At 36.8% G+C, this 20,124-nt stretch overlaps 1 protein-coding gene and 1 long non-coding RNA gene across 2 annotated transcripts in view; both read left to right on the top strand.

The window, feature by feature from the left end:
• C1QTNF3 (C1q and TNF related 3) overlaps positions 1–20,124 on the top strand; it is a 226,867-nt gene that overhangs the window by 109,760 nt on the left and 96,983 nt on the right. The window lies entirely within an intron of this gene.
• The window catches only part of C1QTNF3-AMACR (C1QTNF3-AMACR readthrough (NMD candidate)), a 137,543-nt gene continuing 127,855 nt past the window's right edge, over positions 10,437–20,124 (top strand). Inside the window, exon 1 of the long non-coding RNA NR_037951.1 lies at positions 10,437–10,547. This is a non-coding gene — a long non-coding RNA (C1QTNF3-AMACR readthrough (NMD candidate)). The remainder of the gene's footprint in view (positions 10,548–20,124) is intronic.

Here is a 20,124-nt window from a genome sequence, read left to right as displayed (position 1 = left end):
ATTTAACATGGTGTTGGAAGTTCTGGCCAGGGCAATCAGGCAAGAGAAAGAAATAAAGGGTATTCAATTAGGAAAAGAGGAAGCAAATTGTCCCTGTTTGCAGATGACATGGTTGTATATTTAGAAAACCTCATCGTCTCCACCCAAAATCTCCTTAAGTTGATAAGCAACTTCAGCAAAGTCTCAGGATACAAAATCAATATGCAAAAATCACAAGCATTCCTATACACCAATAACAGACAAACAGAGAGCCAAATCATGAGTGAACTCCCATTCACAATTGCTACGAAGAGAGGAAAATACCTAGGAATCCAACTTACAAGGGATGTGAAGGATCTCTTCAAGGAAGTCACTTTCTGTATTGTACTTCGCTTAATACTTAAGCCTCCAGGAAAGTTTTGTTAGATATTGCAGTCAGGTCTAGGCTAAGTATTTTAAATTTTTTATTTTTATTTTATTTGGTTATAAGCGGTGTTCTGATCAGTGACAGAAGTGACTTGGGTCCACCTTTAACAGAACGTTGGTGTAGAGCAAATCAGCACAATCTTCTCCTCTATGAACATGTGTGTTGACTCATGCATACTCAAGAAACCCTGTGAAGCAGCCTTGAAAAGAGATTTTTCTGGCCAAGGTGATAAGCAAATACTTGTATAGATGTTATGACTGTGCAAATGGTTTGCAAGGAGACCTCAGAAATGACTTGCAGAAGAGAATTTTGAAAAAAAAATTTAATTGGCTCGAACACAATAGAAAGCCAGTCATTAATTGTAATAACTCTCTAGTGTTGATACTCTAAGGTATGAGCATACCTCAGAATTAGGACCAGTTCATATTATACTAAAAAATAAATATTGTCTTAAATGATATGGTGTTATTAGGTCACATTAAAATGAGGAACACTCATTTTGCTTCTGTTATAATTATCATCAAGTCATTCACAGCTAAAATATCTGGAATTGGTTCATACAGCTATTTACATTAGTCACCAAACACTCACTCATTTGGATAGTCAGCTGGGCTAAAGAAAAATATGTATTATAAAGATTACCTTAATTACTGAAAACACATCCTGGAGTATTTCTGCTTTCGTGAAACGAACAGCCAATAAAAAGTTTCTGGATTTTGAAAGGCCCAATTCACTATGGTATTGTAGTCCATAGAGAAAAGAAGCCCCTGGCATTTCCTTCTTTATCATAATTATGTTGCATTTCAATTATTATTCTAATTAATCATTAAACAGGCACTTCAGGCTTTGCTATGATGGTAGAATTGATTTCCACATTGCTTTGATGTCCCATGAACATGACCTCGTCAGTGTAACTCTAACCTTGAGATGCCTCTTCGTTTCCTTTTAGTAACTAGACACTAAATCTCTCAGACACATTCTGGAATCCAATGCTCTATATGTCTAATGTGTTAGAAGCTCCATTAGGATGTAACAAGATTTTAGCCACATTCCCCGCAGCACTTTGGGGTACTGCTGCTTCATGAGATTTTTCTCTAAAGTAACCTTTCAAAGTCAGCCACAAAACCTCTTATTCTAGATCATACTGGCATCTGACCTTTGTAAACTTACAAGAAAAAATAGGAAAAAGGAAGATGCTAAGGGAGACACAGTTATCTTTTTCAAAATGCAGCTAAACCCACAAGCTACAGAGATATCATGACCTATAAAGTTCAGAGCTGTGTTGATTCTTTCTAACAATTACCCACAGCTATTATGATTTCCTCCCATCACTAAAACTGTCATTGCTAAGATTATTGCCCCAGTTTGAGAAGGTAGAAGATTTAACACGTAACTAATATGCAAAGGATAGAGAGAAGAAGGGGAGAGGTTGATATGATCCCTGTCCTTTCACACTGTTAATATGCCAGGTGATAAAATGTCTCATTCACTCCGAAACATTATCACTATACAGGCACTCCTTACAGTGTTTGTTCTCATATATGTCTTCGTATTTTTTTTCCTTTTAAAGTGGCTCTGAGAAACGGCTAATGCACAATCTAATTATGTGATAATAAATGTTAATGACAGTATTATCAGATGATAACTAGGCTTCATTAATGTGTCTCATTATGATTCTCAGCCCCTTGTGGAAGATTGTGAAGAAAGGACCTTAGATATTCCAGATTATATTTGAATGTAGTAGTTACAGAGCCCATATCCAGGGAGAAAGGAAGATATCGGAGACACCTTTAAGCTCTTTCTCTAATTTTGCTTCTTCAAACCTAAGCATCCATCAATCACATCTCAAAATTTATCATATACCTTCAGCATAATGAAAATAGTAATTATAGTAATAGTAATAGTCCTGATATGACAAATAATATGTAAGATCATTTTAACTGTAACTGCTGATATATTTTGGTATAAGTATACAGGCATTTATGTCCCAAACATTATGACCTTGATTATCCATCAGCAAGTTCAAATCATTTAGAGAGGATACACTTATTTAAACGTTTGCACCTGTTAAATTTTGGTTCTGCTACACCATATATATATATATATATATATATATATATATACATACACATACACATACATATATATATATTTTTGTTGTTGTTGTTGTTGTTGAAATGGAGTCTCCCTCTGTTGCCCAGGCTGGAGTGCAGTGGCACAATCTCAGCTCACCGTAACCTCCGCCTCCTGGGTTCAAGTGATTCTCCTGCCTCAGCCTCTCAAGTAGCTTGGATTACAGGCATCTGTCAACACGCCTGGCTAATTTTGTACTTTTAGTAGAGACGGGTTTCTCCATGTTGGTCAGGCTGGTCTTCAACTCCTGACCTCAGGTGATCCACCCACCTCAGCCTCCCAAAGTGCTGGGATTACAGGCATGAGCCACTGCACCCAGCCAGCTACACTATTCTTAATATTCAAAGTAGCACTGTCAAGTTATCACACGAGTCATCACAATTTTTATTATTTTTCTATATTTACCCTCTATTTTAACTATGTAAATTTATCGAATGTTTTAATATTTGAGAGGACAAATCTACTATCACCGTTATTTAATGTTTTGTATTTTTTCTTAATTATTATATTTTTTAAATTGACATGTGATAATTGTACATATTTATGGGGTATGTAGTGATATTTTGATACATAAAATGAATAGTTAACAGATTCGTGTAATTCACATATCCATCATGTCAAAATTTATCATTTCTTTGTGATGGGAACATTCAGTATACCCCTTCTAGCAATTTGAAACTATATATTATTATCAACTACGGTCATCCCACAATGCTATAGAACACTAGAACTTATTTGTCTCTAGCTGTAATTTTGTATCCCTTGACAAATCTCTCTTTATCCTTCTCTCATCCCACCCTTCCCTGTCTCTAGTATATTCCATTCTATTTTTCCTCCTCTGAGATCAACTTTTTTTTAGTTTCCACATATGAGTGAGAACATGCAGTGTTTAACTTTCTGTTCTTAGCTTATTTTACGTAACATAATGTCCTCTTGATTTGTCGAGGCTGCTTCTTATAGTTTCTATTAGAAATATGTGTGTGTGCGCCTGTGTGTGTATAATGTAGGATATTTTAGGTAAACAACTAAATAGTTGTAAATAAGGCTGAACTGTATTTTTAAGGTTTTATTTGTGACTAATAATTTGTCTTATTAATAAAGCCTAGGTTAAAAAAATAAGTGGAAGACATATCTGTCACACACTATATCTTGGGAGTTTTGAAAAATAAAGTGTTGATTTCAGGCAAAATACTTAGTTCAACTGTAACTAAATCAGCAAAGATGTCATGATTCCATAAGGGAGCCACTCTAAATATAATGTTAAATGGAATATTTCATTATATTTTAGAAGTAGGGACTACTAGTTTGACATTAATGTTTTTGAGTATATGTGGTTGCATTTTTATATGTAATAAAATATTCAGTTGTCTTAAACTTAACATTCTTAAGGCCTAGGGCAAGGATAATAATCAAAACCTATATAGTGTATGTTTGCATATTTAAAAGTTATAAATCAAGTTAACAAACTGTTAAATAAAGTATGCTGTGTTCTCTCACTTTGACACATATACCTTCTCAATGAAATTCAGGTTTGGAACTAGAATTCTTGGGCCGTCAACATCCAGCACAGAATATGAGGACATAGAGAGAGCCAGTGCCCTGACCTGGTCTCACACCGTGAGAGGCCTTGTGTGTATACATTTTGGGTACCTCTGTTGATATGTTGAAACTCAGTCTACCACTGTAGCTCTAGCAAAAAGCTTCCCATTGGCCCACAGGGCCTCTAGTTGTGCACTCTGTATATGTGGTTCACCATGAAAGACAGAACTGGTGGAGAGGAACATGGATGCTGGAAGCAGTCTCAAAACCCTTTGAAGACAGAATTCTAAGTCTTTATGTTCTACAGCATGATCTCAAAGGTGGTAGGTGGGGGTGAGCAGCATCACCTCCAACTAACCTCATCCCCTTGGACCTGGTAAACTCCTTGTACTTTGGGGAGGAATGTGGCCAGAGAGAGGACCATAGTGGAGCCCTTGAAAGCACAGGCTCCAGGGCAAAGTGTTCTTTTGCTCAATTATATGGGCATTCTTCTTATGGGTGTAGTTATTTGCTTATTGCTATGTAATGATTTGGATTTAATAATGCTATATTGAAAGTGCAATGGCCTACAGAACTGAGGGATCATGTTTTAGCTTAAATTCAATAGAAAAAAATGACTCCTTTATAAAAAAAAGTATTTAAATTTGTAAGTTGTCATCCCTATCCACTAAGGGATATTAAATGTATTAAATGCTGGGAAATATATATGCACATATATATTTATATATGTATGTATGTGTGTGTGTGTGTGTGTATATATATAAAATAGTGATCAGAGAAAAAGACAAATGAAGACAAACAGCAATGAGGATAAAAATGGTCCAAACATATGAACTCCCAGATGCCATTTTGGAGGAAAATAAAAATTTCCATAGAAATCAATAGATAAGGAACAGACATTTAAGAAAATGTGCTTGGAACAAGTGCACATAAAATAAATAAAATTTAGTATAATGGTCCTGAAGGAAAAAAATGTTATGCATGAAAACAAGACATTATGGAATATGAGAAAATTAGATGCTGAAGAAAATAATTGATTGGACTAAAATTATTCCATTAGGCACTCTGATTAATACTCATTATTTAGTGGGGAGAAATATAGAGGTTGTTATTAGAAGACCCAATAGGCCCACTATAACCTTTATATATCATTATATATATTTATATTGATCAATTTTACAGCTTCCAGTTTAAAGAAAGGTTCATTCAGCCTCAGTAGATGCATTTTCTATATATTATAGGTATCTGTATATAATTACATATATGTGTATATTATATTGAATATTGACAGATTATAATCACTTACATTTATAGGGTATAGAGTTATGCTTTAATATATGCATCCAATTTGGAATGACTAAATCAAGTTCATACCCATCGCCTCTAATAATTACCATTTATTTCTCCTGTCTCACAGAAATATTGCACTCTTTCAACAATATCTCTTCATTCCTCTCACTCCTAAATCTCTGGTAACTATTCTGTTCTCTACTTCTAGAATTCAGCTATTATAGAGTCCACATAAAAGTGAGAACATATGGTATTTGTCTTTCTGTGCCTGGCTTATTTCACTTAGCATAATGTCTTTGTATTAGTCCTTTTACACACTGCTGTAAAGAACTACCTGAGACTGGGTAATTTGTAAAGAAAAGAGGTTTAATTGACACACAGTTCCTGAGGCTGGAGAGGCCTCAGGAAATGTACAATCATGGCAAAAGACAAAGGGGAAGCAAGCCATCTTATATGGTGGCAGGAGAGAAAGAGTGTGAAGGGGGAAGTGCCACCAGATCTTATGAGAACTCACTCACTATCACAAGAACAGAAAAGGGGAAGTGTGCCCCCATGATTCAATTACCTCCCACCAGGCCCCTCCCCCAACATGTTAGAATTACAATTTGAGATAAGATTTGGGCAGGGACACAGAGCCAAACCATATTGTTCTGCCCCTGGCCCCTTTAAAATATCATGTTCTTCTCACTTTTCAAAGCCAATCATGCCTTCCCAAGAGTTCCCCAAAGTCTTAACTCATTCCAGCATTAAACCAAAAGTCCAGTCCAAAGTCTTTCTGAGACAAACAAGTCCCTTCCGCCTATGAGCCTGTAAAATCAAAAACAGATTAGTTACAATGGGGTTACAGGCATTGGGTAGATAACTCCTGTTCCAAAAGGGAGAAATTGGTCAAAACAAAGGGGCTATGGGCCCCATCCAAATCCAAAACCCAGCAGGACAGTCATTAAGTCTCAAAGCTCTGAAATAATCTCCTTTGACTCCATGTCTCACATCCAGGGAATGCTGATGCAACAAGTGGGCTCTCAAGGCCTTAGGCAATTCTACTCTTGTGTCTCTGCAAGATACAGCCCCTTTGATTGCTTTCAGGGCTTGGCATTGAGTGCCGACAGCTTTTCCAGGCAGCCAGGGCGAGCTATCGGTGAATTTATCATTCTGGGTTCTATAGGACTGTGGCCCTCTTCTCACAGCTCCACTAGGCAGTGCCCCAGTGGGAACTCTGTGTGAGGGCTCCAACCCCACATTTCTCCTGTGCACTGCCCTCATAGAGGTTTCCACGACAGCTCCATTCCTGCAGCACACTTCTGCCTGGATATCCAGGCACTTCCATATATTATCTGAAATCTAGGTGGAGGTTCCTAAACCTCAATTCTTGTCTTCTGCACACCTGCAGGCCCAGCAGTATGTGGAAGTTGCCAAGGCTTGGGGCTTGCACCCTCTGAAGCAGTGGCATGAGCCATGGCTGGAGCTGGAGCTGCTGGGACACAGGTCTTCACGTCCCAAGGCTGCACAGAGGACCGAGGACCTGGGCCCAACCCAAGAAAAAATTTTTCCCTTCTAGGCCTTTAGGACTGTGATGGGAGTTGCAGCCGTGAAGATCTCTGAAATGCCCTGAGGACTTTTTCCTCATTTTCTTGGAGATTAACATCAGGATCCTCTTGATTTATGCAAATTTATGCAGCCAGCCTGAATTTCTCCCCAGAAAATGGGTTTTTATTTTTTTAACCACATGGTCAAGTTGCAAATTTTCCAAACTTTTAATGTCTTCTTTCCTTTTAAACATAAATTCCAATTTCAAACCATCTCTTTGTGAATGCATGTGACTGTACACTTTTAGAAACTGCCAGGTCAGGGCGTGGTGGTGCATGCCTGTAATCCCAGCTACTTGAGAGGCTGAGGCAGGAGAATCGCTTGAACCTGGGAGCTAGAGGTTGCAGTGAGCCAAAATCACACCACTGCACTCCAGTCTGGGTGACAGAGCGAGACTCCGTCTCAAAAAAAAAAAAAAAAAGGAAAAGAAAAAGAAACCACCAGGTCAAATCTTGAATGCCTTTCTGCTTACAAATTTCTTCTGCCAGATGCCCTAACTTCTCTCTCTCAAGTTCAAAGCTTAACAGATCTCTAGGAGAGGGGCAAAATGTCACCAGTCTCTTTGCTAAAGCATAGAAAGAGTGACCTTTACTATAGTTCACAATAAGTTCCTCATCTCTATCTGAGACTACCTCAGCCGGGACTTTATTGTCCATATCACTATCGACATTTTGATCAAAACTATTCAACAAGTCTCTAGGAAGTTCCAAACTTTCCCATATCTTCCCGTCTTCTTCTGAGCCCTCCAAACTCTCCCAACCTCTGCCCGTTACCCAGTTCCAAAGTCACTTCCACATTTTCAGGTATCTTTGTAGCAGTGCCACACTTTCCCGGTACCAGCTTTCTGTATTAGTCCATTTTCACATTGCTATGAAGAACTACCTGAGACTGGGTAACTTATAAAAAAAAGTTTTAATTGACTCATAGTTCATGGCTGTAGAGGACTCAGGAAGGTTACAATCATGGCGGAAGGCAAAGAGAAAGCAAGGTACATAGTGACAGGAGAGAGCACAAAACGGGAAGTGCCACACACATTCAAATAATCAGATCTCATGAGAACTCTATCACTATCATGCTAACAGCCAGGGGGATGTCCGCCCCCATGATTCAATCACCTCCCATCAGGCTCCACCCCTGAAATGTGGGGATTACAATTCTAGATGAGATTTGCATGGGGACACAGGGCCAAAGCATATTGGTCTTCCAGGTTTATTCATTTTGTTGCAGATGACAGAATTTCCCTCTCTTAATGCTGAATAATATTCCATTGTATATATATACCACCTTTTCTTTATTCATTCATCTCTGATGGACACTTGGTTGATTCCGTAACTTGGCTGTTATGAATGATACTTCAATATCTGAAGTGCAGATATCTCTTCATCATGCTGATTTCATGTATTTTAGACATACACTCAGAAATCAGATTGCTGGATCATATGGTAATTTAATTTTTAGCTTCTTAAGGAACCTCCATGCAGTTTTCTGTAGTGGTTGTACTATTTTACAGTTTCACACACAAAATACAAGCTTTCCCTTTTCTCCACATCCTCCCTAATACTTGTAATCTGCATTTTGTATATTTTTAATTTTCTGAGTTAAATAAAATGTATTTAATGCAGTAAATATATATTTGGATCAGATGATCACTTCAGAGCTATTGCCACCAAGGTTCTTATGCAAGACTCTTCTTGATAAGGTAGATTGCAGAAGTAACAAAAGAGGTTTCAATAAACATAACTTTGGCTGTGTGTACTTCCTATTACTCCAGCAATGCATAATGGAGGTAAATATTAGGACTTCATGTGGATAATTTATAGAATGTAAATTTGATGTATGTATATCCAATCCATTTCTAAGTATGAGATATTATAGGCAAACATTTACTTTCTGTCTGAGTAGAACATTTCTCGCTGACAAGGGAGATGATTTTTATGTTGTTATTTGCATTTGCAAAAGAACACTATCTTTTCTTTATCAAGATGTTCTTGATCCTGTGTGAAATATTTTCAGAAAAATTAAAGAGAAATTAAACTTAGACAATTCCCTCTTATACACCTGAAGCAAGCCCCTTGACACTCAAATAGTCACATAATAATTCTTTCCTCTTTTTGTGGAAAAAGCCTATAATAAAAGCTAAATAAATTTAGTATTGACTATTAAAGTCAAGAAAGTCACAACAAATATTGTGTTTACCATTTTCAACAAAACCTATTTTATTTATTACAATATAAGAAATATGAAATGCATATATCTCTCGTGTGAAATAATTTTTAAATTTTTCTGTTGAATATTTCATGTCATTAATAGACGTGAAACCTTTTAAAAATATATAAAAGGATGTAATCACTGTTCCTTCGTTTTGATTCATGAATGTTTAGAAATGTGCAGACAATGTGCTGTACTTTTGCAGAACACAGTAGGTCACATGCAAAACCAGTGGTCACTTGCCCTCCAACAGTGAGGTTCTGAAACTCCTCACAACTCTACATAAGAAAATTTCCCCAGAAAAATGTGAAACTCAGTGTGTTAAGATACAATATGATGCAATTTTTTGAATAGGAAATAGATAAGCATTGTAATAATTCAATGTTTGATCTCTTAGTTTTATAAAATGTATACTTTGTTAATTATTTTAAAATACTAAAAAATAGAAGTTACCTCTGCTTTTGGCAGGTACCTCATATAACTTATTGTTGAAGATATGAGAAGTAAATGGAGAAATATTATAAAATTTCCTTAGCTTATATGCATGGACCCTTGGGTTATATTCCTGAGAGCTTGCTGGAGCTGTGGAGGTTACGTATACAACATTTAGTGAGAGTGATGCTTAGCAATTTGTCATCTGGCCAACCCACTCATCACCCATCTCATTTTGCTGATGAAGATAGCTGAATTCCACCTTTTGTGGCTTTAAAAATGACTCAAAGGTAGAGAAGTTTTGTCATGCTTGCCTTCTCTTTCCTTTCTTTCCTCTCTCCATCACCTCTTGGAGTCAGAAAGGATAGAGGTGAGGCTGAGAGATTTGAGTCCATTTCCTCCCCTTCCTTGCCTTGTAATGGAGAGGGCCAACCTGAGAGTGGCGTATAGGAGATATCAAATCTCTATAGCATAAACCCATTTTTAGGAATCATGAAACTATAACAATTTAGTGGAGAATCAATCACTTTTGTAGAAGAACTTCTCATTTCTTTCCCCAAAATAGGTCAGATTACTTAAAACAAAAACTATTTGAGGAAGTCTTCCTCACTTGTCCTTGAATATAAAGACTGCTTAAGACAAAACAAAAATCCTAATCTGGTGATATAATTTGGATATGTGACCTCACCCAAATCTCATGTTGAACTGTAATCCCCAATGTTGGAGGTGGAGTGTGATGGGAGGTGATTGGATCATGGGGGTGGATCCCTCATGAATACCATCCCCTTAGTGCTGTTCTTGTGATAGTGAGTGAATTCTCACAAGATCTCATTGTTTACAGGTGAGTAGTGCCTCCTCCCATCTCTCTTGCTCCTGGTCTCATCGTGACGGGCCTGGTCCTGCCTCACTTTCTGCCATGACTAAGAGCTCCCTGAGGCCTCTCCAGAAGCAGGTATCACTATGCTTCCTACACAGCCTGCAGAACCGTGAGCCAATTAAATATCTCTTCTTATAAGTTACCTAGTCTCAGGTATTTCTTTATAGCAGTGCAACAACAGCCTAATACATCTGGCAATGTTTTTGGATGTGATTATAGATAAAAATAAATCTAAAAAGTTTACCAGCTTTCCAGGGATCTAGCCATCTTTATACAAAGGGCTTCAAAAATAAACTAATTAATAAAAGGACGGCTAATCATTAGAACAACATTTCAGTATCTGTGTGGGTGTTATATTTTATCTGTTAGTAAATATTTTATAATAAGGGAGCATGTTTCTTTCTGACTTGACATTAAAGTACCTATACATCTGTTAAAAAGTGCTTTGACCTTTAGCAATGTGGTATGATCAACGATATTATAAGCTGATTTAGGTTAGAAAAAAGACACATGGGCTTATCAGTTTTAGAAGTAGACATCTGTGTGCAAAAAAAATGTATTTCTGTATTTCAAGCACAAAATTAAGAACACTTAATTTTTCCTTTGGAAAAAAATTAAACACATACACTCGCATACGTATACCACTCATACACAAACACCTATTGTTTGAAGCTTTGCTTTAAAACATAACATTTTAGAAATAAAATCGTGGATAGAAGGAGACAAGTGTTTAGTATGAAAAAAATTGCAGCATTTATCAATTAGAATATACTCATTAATTTGGCAAAGCCAAATGTGATTACAAATTAAACTGTGTCTTAAACCAGTAATTTTCATTTGTAGCATTTAAAGCACAAAGAAAAAAAAAAAGCATATCTGTTCTGCTGTCCTGGAAATTGGGAGTACAACATAATCATTGACAACATGAAGAGAATATAGATCAGGGTGTAGAGTAGTTAAGAAAGATTTTTCTGAGAATAAAATATTGAAGACAAAAAAGAGCCTGTTTTAATCTATTCCTGTGACCTCAATTTCTGAGATGACATGCAAGGAACTAAAATACACACACCTCATGTTTGCTGAAAATCTGATATTATTTATATGTATATATGTTTATGTAGATGTAGATATGGATGCATGCATGTATGTATGTGCATTCATATACACACAGGCCCAGATCAAGTCCAACACCAACAGGGCAAAATATATCAAATTGTAAGGGCTGCAGCTCTCCAGTGCTGAAATCTGGGTTCATGGAGGCAGCCTTGCCCCCATGGCTCTGCTGGCATTACCTTAGTTGGTGCTCTCTGTGATAGCCTGTCCCCATGGCAGTTCTCTGAGGTGGGCCCATCCCTGTGGGTTCTCTGCCTGGACCTTCTAGCTCTCTCAGGGCATCCTTTGAAATCTAGTCACATCCCCTCTGCTTTCCTGGGTGAAATACACACTTCGCTAAGGCTGCTGATTTCACTGGTGGGGTGACTGAGGAGGAGAACTGCAGAGTGCGGGGAGTGGAGACTGCAATGTGAGGAGGCTGTTATAATCAGTGGTGGTCTCTCTTTTGATAAACTTCTGCCCCCCAGACCCTGGAATTCTGGGCTCGTGATGGGAATGGCAGCATAGACAATCTCTAAAATGCCTTCAGGGTCATTCTTCCATTGCCTTTTACAATAAGCCCTGGCTTCTGTTTAGATGGCAGCATAACCCTTTCATTATTTTTGATGAATAGCACCTACCTTCCATTGAGGTGGCCTATCCATACTAATCTACTTATCCAACAGTTGGTTGGCCCACACTTGTTCTCTCCCAAACAGGTTTCCTCATGCTTTCCAATGTAGATAGGCTGAATCTGCTTCAAGATTTTGAAGTTCTGCTTCCCTTTTGGTTACAATCAATTTTAAATCATTTTTCTCTTTGCATATTTTACTATCAGCAGGCAAGAGGAACCAGGCCACTCTTCCAATACTTTGCTCAGAAATTTCCTCAGCCAAATATTCTATTTCAGTGCTTACAATTTCTACTTTCCTGAAAACACGAGGAAAATTCAGCCAAATTCTTTACTCCTTTATTAAGAGAGTGACCTTTTCTCCATTTTCCAATGACATGTTCCTCATTTCAACCTGAAACTTCATCAGTGTGACCTTTACCAAGCTTATTTCTGCCAGCATTATATTCTTGACTACTTAGTCTCTAAGAAAATTCCAGCTTTCTCTACAGCTTTTCTCCTGTCCTTCAGAGCTCACACCAGACTCACATTCTAAAGATCCTTTCAGAGCTGTGTTGACTTTTTCTACCATGCACTTTGAAACTCTTTTAGCCTCTACCCACTACCCAATCCCAAAACGTCCCCACTTCCATATGTTTAGGTATATGTTATAGCATAGAGCACCCCCACTCTTTAGTACTAATTTTCTCTTAGTCTGTTTGAATTGCTGTAATAAATTGATACATACTATGTAGCTTATAAATGACAGACATTTATTTTTCATAGTTTTAGAGGCAGGGAAGTTTAAGATCAAGGCACCAGCAGATTAGGTATCTGGTGAGGGTCAGCCTACTTGCTGGTTCATAAACATCTGTTTTTTTGCTATAAATTCAAATGGCGGAACAGCTCAGGGGGAGGTCTCTCTCAGACTTATTTTATAAAGTCACTCATTTCATTCATGAAGGCTTTACTCCGATGACCTAATCATTTTCCAAAAGCCCCACCTCCTTATACCATCATTTTGGGGATTAGAGTTTCAACATGTGAATTTTGGAAAGGTACAAATGTTCAGACCATAACAGGTAAAATATCATTTTTCTAATTCTCCCTGTGCAAATATTTACAAATGCCAAATGACATGGTTTGGCTCTGAGTTCCCACCCAAATCTTATCTTGAATTGTACTCCCATAATTCCCAAGTGTTGTGGGAGGGAGCTGGTGGGAGATCATTTGAATCATGGGGATGGTTTTCTTCATAGTGTTCTCATGATAGTGAATAAGTCTTCTGAGATCTGATGGTTTTATCAGGGGTTTCTGCTTTTGCATCCTCATTTTCTCTTGCCGCCGCCATGTAAGAAGTGCCTTTCATATCCTGCCATGATTCTGAGGCCTCCCTAGCCATGTGGAACTGTACCTCCAATTAAACCTCCTTTTCTTCCCAGTCTCAGGTATGTCTTTATAAGCAGCATGAAAATGGACTAATATGATGAGTTATTTGTTAACAACAACAACAAAAACAAATAGGACTTTGTTATTATAACAGTTGCCCAACTTTTAGCTCCTTTGACAAAACATGTTAATAATGAAATATAAAATGAAGTGAAATGTTTAATTAATCTCATGAATTTGCCTCCTTTAAAAAATATGTGAATATACCTACACACACTATGGGAATTTTCAAAGCCTTCCTAAAGCAGTGACATTTATCAGAATAAAAGTAATCATTAAAGAAAATATGGAAGATGTTCTTAATGATCTCTGCCTGAGATATTTTTAAACATTTATAAAATTATTGGTTTTAGTAAAAATTGAGGGGAGACAAGGATTTAATGGTTAATAAAATTTCTCAATGCAGGAAGTAAATGAGGAATCACATGCTCATTCATTGCTATTACTATATCACATAACCTAAATAAAGGGGGACGGGTATTGTATTAGTCTGTTTTCATGCTGCTGCTGATAAAGACATGCCTGAAACTGGGCAATTTACAAAAGAAAGAGGTTTCATGGACTCACGGTTCCACGTGGCTGGGGAGGCCTCACAATGATGGTGGAAGGTGAAAGGCATGTCTCACATGGCGTTAGACAAAAGAAGAGAACTTGTTCACGGAAACACCTCTTTATAAAACCATCAGATCTTATGAGACTTATTCACTATCATGAGAACAGCATGGGAAAGACCCACCCCTATGATTCAATTACCTCCTAACAGTTCCCTCCCACAACACGTGGGAACTGTGGGAGCTATAGTTCAAGATGAGATTTGAGTGGAGACACAACCAAATCATACCAGGTATTAAGTAAGTAAATATGGCATATTGTTCTTTTCCCATTAAATGCATTTACTGTCAAATTTCCATTTGCCTTTTTTTCAAATCCTCTTTTCAAACATACAGTTTGCTTTCCCACTCTGAAAAAAAAAATGTGATTTATGAAAATTTCACAAGACTATAGATGGCTATACTTAAAGTAAGAATATAAAAAACTGAAACTGATATGATCTAAAACAAAAACGTCAGTTCAGGAAATACAAATCAAGAGTAGAAATATTTGAGTTCCTGAATATCATAGTTCTGAAACATGCATGAATGCCAAAGTGAATTTCTAGGTCTGATTAGAAATCTACTGAATTTCTAAATCTGGACCATTAGACCAAATGTTATTTATTGTAAAAGCATTAGGTGACTTAAACAGGACTTTCACTTGAGGTAGTATTAAAATTAGGAACAATCCATTCCTCAAGTTTAATCAAATACCGATGTTTCTGTTTAGAAAAATGTGTGGGAGAAAGTCAAAAGTACTGCAGTAAGCAAAATAAGAGGCCCCCAAAGATATCCAGCTCTTAATCTCTGGAGTCTGTGAATATGTTATTATGTTACATCGCTTAAGGGAGTTAAGGGTTCAGATGGAATTTGGCGTTTAAAAATGAAGATTATACTGGATTATCTGGGTAGGCATAATGTATCACAAGGATCCCTAAAATATGGAAGAGGGAGTTAGGGGAGTTAGTATCACAGTGATGCGCAATGTGAGAAAGACTCAACTGTCCGTAGCTGGTTTTCAGGATAAAATGGGATCATGACCCAAAGAATCTGGGCAGCCTCTCAAAGTTGGAAAAGGCAAGAAAACAGATTCTTCCCTAGAGTTTCCAAAAATGAATGCATCCCTGTGGACACCTTGATTTTAGCACAGTGAGACATATTTTGGACCTTTGGCTTCCAGATCTGTAAGGTCATAAGTTTGTGTTGTTTTATGCCAGAAAGTTTGTTGTAAGTGCTTATAGCTGCAATAGAAAACAATACAGTTGTTTATAAAAGGGAGATTCCCTAAGCAGAGTATAATAGAGAGACGGTTGCTTGTGAGGGGTGGCAGAGAGGCATGGAGGAATCTCTATGGCACTATGTCCCTGACATCTAATCTTTAAAGTTGTACAGGATCTGACAAATAAGAGAACCTTGCCCTATCATTGGGATAATTCTCTTTAGAAAACTGGGGAAGCTTTTAATGTCAAAGAGCTATGACATTTTAGCACTATGAGGTAGATTAAGATTTCTCCCTTAGGATAGTAACACTCAGAGATATTGATCAGATTCTAAGAGCTTGAATTGTTGTTTTTTTAAAAGAATATTCTGAGTTATACCATTTCGATGGCATTTAATGTAGAAGATTAAGAGCTGACATTATTTCAATTTTTAAAATAAGAGACAATAATAGCAATAAAAACACACTTTTTCTGCTGTGTTTTGTTTTTTGTTGCTCTGAATTTTGGACACATATGAGTCAGTGAGGTTCATTGTCTGCATACAAATATGTGTTGGTAATGTATATACAAACACACACACTACACATATATGTAAATATATATATATGTATACACACATATAAGTTTAGATAGAGAGATAGTGAACACTAAGAAAGGAAAAGAAGCAATATTTAATGATAAAGCGATTGTAACCTTTTCAATGTGATGAAAAGCAGGAATTACAAACCCAGAAGCTCAACACAGTACAATAGGATGAAAACAAGGAGATCCAAATCAGACACATCAAGTAAAATGTTGAAAGCCAAAGAGAGAGAGAAAATCTTGAAAATAGCAAGAAGAAAACTATTTATCATTTGTAATAAAAGCCCAAGTTAACAGTGAATTTCCAACTAGAAAAAAATACATGTCAGAAGGCAATGGAATATTATGTTAAATGTTAAAATTAAAACCAGCCAAAAAAAAATCTGTCAGCAAAGATCTTATGTACAACAAAATGATTTTCAAAACTGAAGACAAAAGAAAGACATTCCCAGATAAACAAAAGCTGAGTGAATGTGTTGTTGTCAATCCCAGCTAATACAAAATATGGAAGCAGGTTTTCAGGCTGAGAGCTAGTGATAGGTAGACAGCAATTCAAATTCACATGATAGGCCGGACATGGTGGCTCACACCTGTAATCCCAGCACTTTGGGAGGCTGAGGCAGGTGGATCATTTGGGGTCAGGAGTTCTAAAGTTGCCTGACCAACATGCAGAAACTCTTTCTCTACCAAAACTACAAAAATTAACAGGCGTGGTGGTGTGCACCCGTAATTCCAGCTACTCGAGCGGATGAGGCAAGAGAATCACTTGAACTCAGGAGGCAGAGGTTGCAGTGAGCCAAAACCATGCCCCTGCACTCCAGCCTGGGCAACAGAGTGAGACTCTGTCTAAAGAAAAAAAGAATCACATGATAAAAAGCAGAATACTGGTAAAGATAATTATGCAGATCACTATAAAATATAATTATATAGTTACACAGATCACTACAAAAAATATAAGATGAAGTATAATTGATATTTCTTCTACTCTTTTTTCATAGTTGATTTTAAAAGCAATTGTATGAAATAACATTTACATATTTGTATTTATTGAGCCATCAGCGTAAAAATGCAATGTATTTGACAATAACAGCACAAAGAATGGGGATGGAAACAAAGCATACTACATTGGAGTGAAGAACTTGTATCAGATCCTTTTTTTTTTTTAATTTTTATTTTGAGATGGAGTCTCACTCTGTCGCCTAGTCTGGAGTGCAGTGGCATGATCTAGGCTCACTGCAGCCTCCTGCCTTAGCCTCCTGAGTAGCTCGGATTACAGGCACCTGCCACCATGCCCAGCTAATTTTTGTATTTTTAGTAGAGACAGGGTTTCAACATGATGGTCAGGCTGGTCTCCAACTCCTGACCTCAAGTGATCCGCCCACCTCGGCCTCTTGAATTGCTGGGATTATAGGCGTGAGACACCATGCCTGGCCCTTGTATCAGATCTCCAGAGAGAAATGAAGAGAAATAGAAATGGTAACTAATAATGTTTGTTGGGGTTGTAACACCTATGGGCCCACTATGTATGAGATGATAACACACAAAAAGGAGGGGAGGAATTAAGCTCTACAGAAATAAAACTGCTGTGTTACACTGGACCTAAGTCAGTATAATCTAAATTGTATGGAAGTTAATATTCATATTTAACACCCTGAAACCATCACTAAGAAAATATCTAAGTAATATTATTAAAAATCACTAAAAGAATTAAGGATTATACTAGAATATAGCCACTTAATATGAAATAGTTAAAAGGAAACAGAAGTGCAAAGACACATGAAGGATATAGAAAGAGATAGAAATATGGATGATGTATTAGATATCACTCCCACATATCAGTTACAACATTAAATGTGAATAGATTAAACAATATAATTAAAAGTCAAAGATTATGAGTTTCAATGAATAAAATCAATATCCAGCTATATGTTTACAAGGGAGGTACTTCAGAATCAGAAATTAAAATGTATTTACAATAAAAGGATGAAAGGATATACTGTGCAAAAAGCAATCGTGAGACCTGGAGTGAAACTTTAAAAATGTTGCTAGAAAGGCCGGGCACAGTGGTTCATGCCTGTAATCCCAGAACTTTGGGAGGTGAAGGCAGGCAGATCATTTGAAGTCAGGAGTTCAAACCAGCCCGGCCAACATGGTGAAACCTCATCTGTACTAAAAATACAAAAAATTAGCTGGGCGTGGTGTCAGGCGCTTGTAATCCCAGCTACTCAGGAGGCTAAAGCAGGAGAATCGCTTCAACCTGGGAGACGGAGGTTGCAGTGAGCCGAGATAGCATCTCTGCACTCCAGCCTAGGTGACAAAGCAAGACTCCATCTCAAATAACAAAAATAAAATTTTAAAAAATGTTGCTAGATAGAAGGAGGGACAGTGCATAATGCTAAGAGTCAATAGATTTGGGAATATATAAAATTTAAGCATTTAACAACAGAATCCAAAGATACTTTAGATAAATATTGACAGAATTGAAGGAAAGAATAGACAATTCAACAGTAGTAGTTGGAGATTTTAATACCTCTTTCAATGAGAATAGAACAAGGAGACAGATCAATAAAGAAAAAGATTTTAACACACAACTAACTGTAACACACATCTATCTATAGGACACTCTATTTAGCAAAAGCAGAAAGCATACTTTTTTAAAGTGCACGTGGAACATTTTTAAAAGCCTCAATAAAATTTTTTAAAATTGCAATAATACAAATTATATTCTTCAACCTCAATGAAATTTTAAAAATCTTCAAAAGGAAATTTGAGAAATTTACAAATATGCAGCTATCAAACAACAGATTCTTAAATAAGCAGTGGGTCGAAGAAATTACAAGAAAGGTTTGAAAATGCTTTGAGATGAATATAATGTACATATAAAATGGTAAAAAGTATACAAAAAACTAAAGCAGTTTTCAGAGTGAAACACATAGCTATGAACATTTACAGTAAAAAAGAACAGTATCCAAAATAAGTAACCTAAAAATTACTTTAAGTTTGTTCCAAGAGAAAATTTATAGAAATAAATTAAAAACATGATCAAAGATTTACTGCAGAGAGTTTAGAATTCAGAGAATATGAGAGTTTGAAATGTGCAGATATATAATAAGAACATCTAAGATATATCTAACAAAAGGTTTAAAGAATTATAGGGTGTGAAAAAGGCCATACTAATCAAGACATACCAGCTGAAAGTTTTTTTTTTTTTTTTTTGACACAGAGTCTCGCTCTGTCACCCAGGCTGGAGTACAGTGGCGCCATCTCAGCTCACTGCAAGCTTCGCCTCCCGGGTTCACGCCATTCTCCTGCCTCAGCCTCCCGAATAGCTGGGACTGCAGGTGCTCGCCACCACGCCCAGCTAATTTTTTGTATTTTTTAGTAGAGATGGGGTTTCACCGTGTTAGCCAGGATGGTCTCGATCTCCTGACCTTGTGATCCTCCCGCCTAGGCCTCCCAAAGTGCTGAGATTACAGGCATGAGCCACCGTGTCCGGCCACCAGCTGAAGTTTTTCCAGAATTGGCGGAAGATGTCCGTCCTCACCTCAGGCAGCACAGTTTTCAAAACTACTGTACCTTTGTATTCTAAAATTGTGTCTCTCACCAAGCATATACTTAGCAGACATTTGTTAAATGAATCTTAGATACATTATGATGAAACTATCCAGCATTAGATATGAAGATATAATTTTTAAATCTAATACTCATTTAGATTGCTTACTAAGAAACAGCAACAAGGTGAAACAAAATTTCCAACAAACACAGAGCTGGATAATTTCTTAGAAGGAATGCTGGCAGAAAATAATTCTCCACCTAGAATTATATATCCAAATAATGATAATTTCAAATTATTATTTATAATTTTGAAAATATTAATGACACTATTTTTGATGGCCAAATAAAAAAAAAGTTGAACAAAGTGCCTAAGGCTAGGAGAACATTATTGAATAAATTTTTTTATTTTTATTACCTTTCAGAAAGTAGACACAGATCCTCCTATGATGTGTTAGAATGATTAATGGGACCAGAAACTGCACAAATAGTGGTGAATCTAAACAAATATTGATGACCTATAAATATTCTATACTGGATATTTTGTTGGAAAA

This window comes from Homo sapiens, chromosome 5 (genome assembly GCF_000001405.40).
Source record: "Homo sapiens chromosome 5, GRCh38.p14 Primary Assembly".
In the NCBI taxonomy this organism is placed as follows: Eukaryota; Metazoa; Chordata; class Mammalia; order Primates; family Hominidae; genus Homo; species Homo sapiens.
The sequence above is the reverse complement of the archived record's forward strand: the minus strand, read 5'-3'. Positions and strand labels throughout refer to the sequence as shown.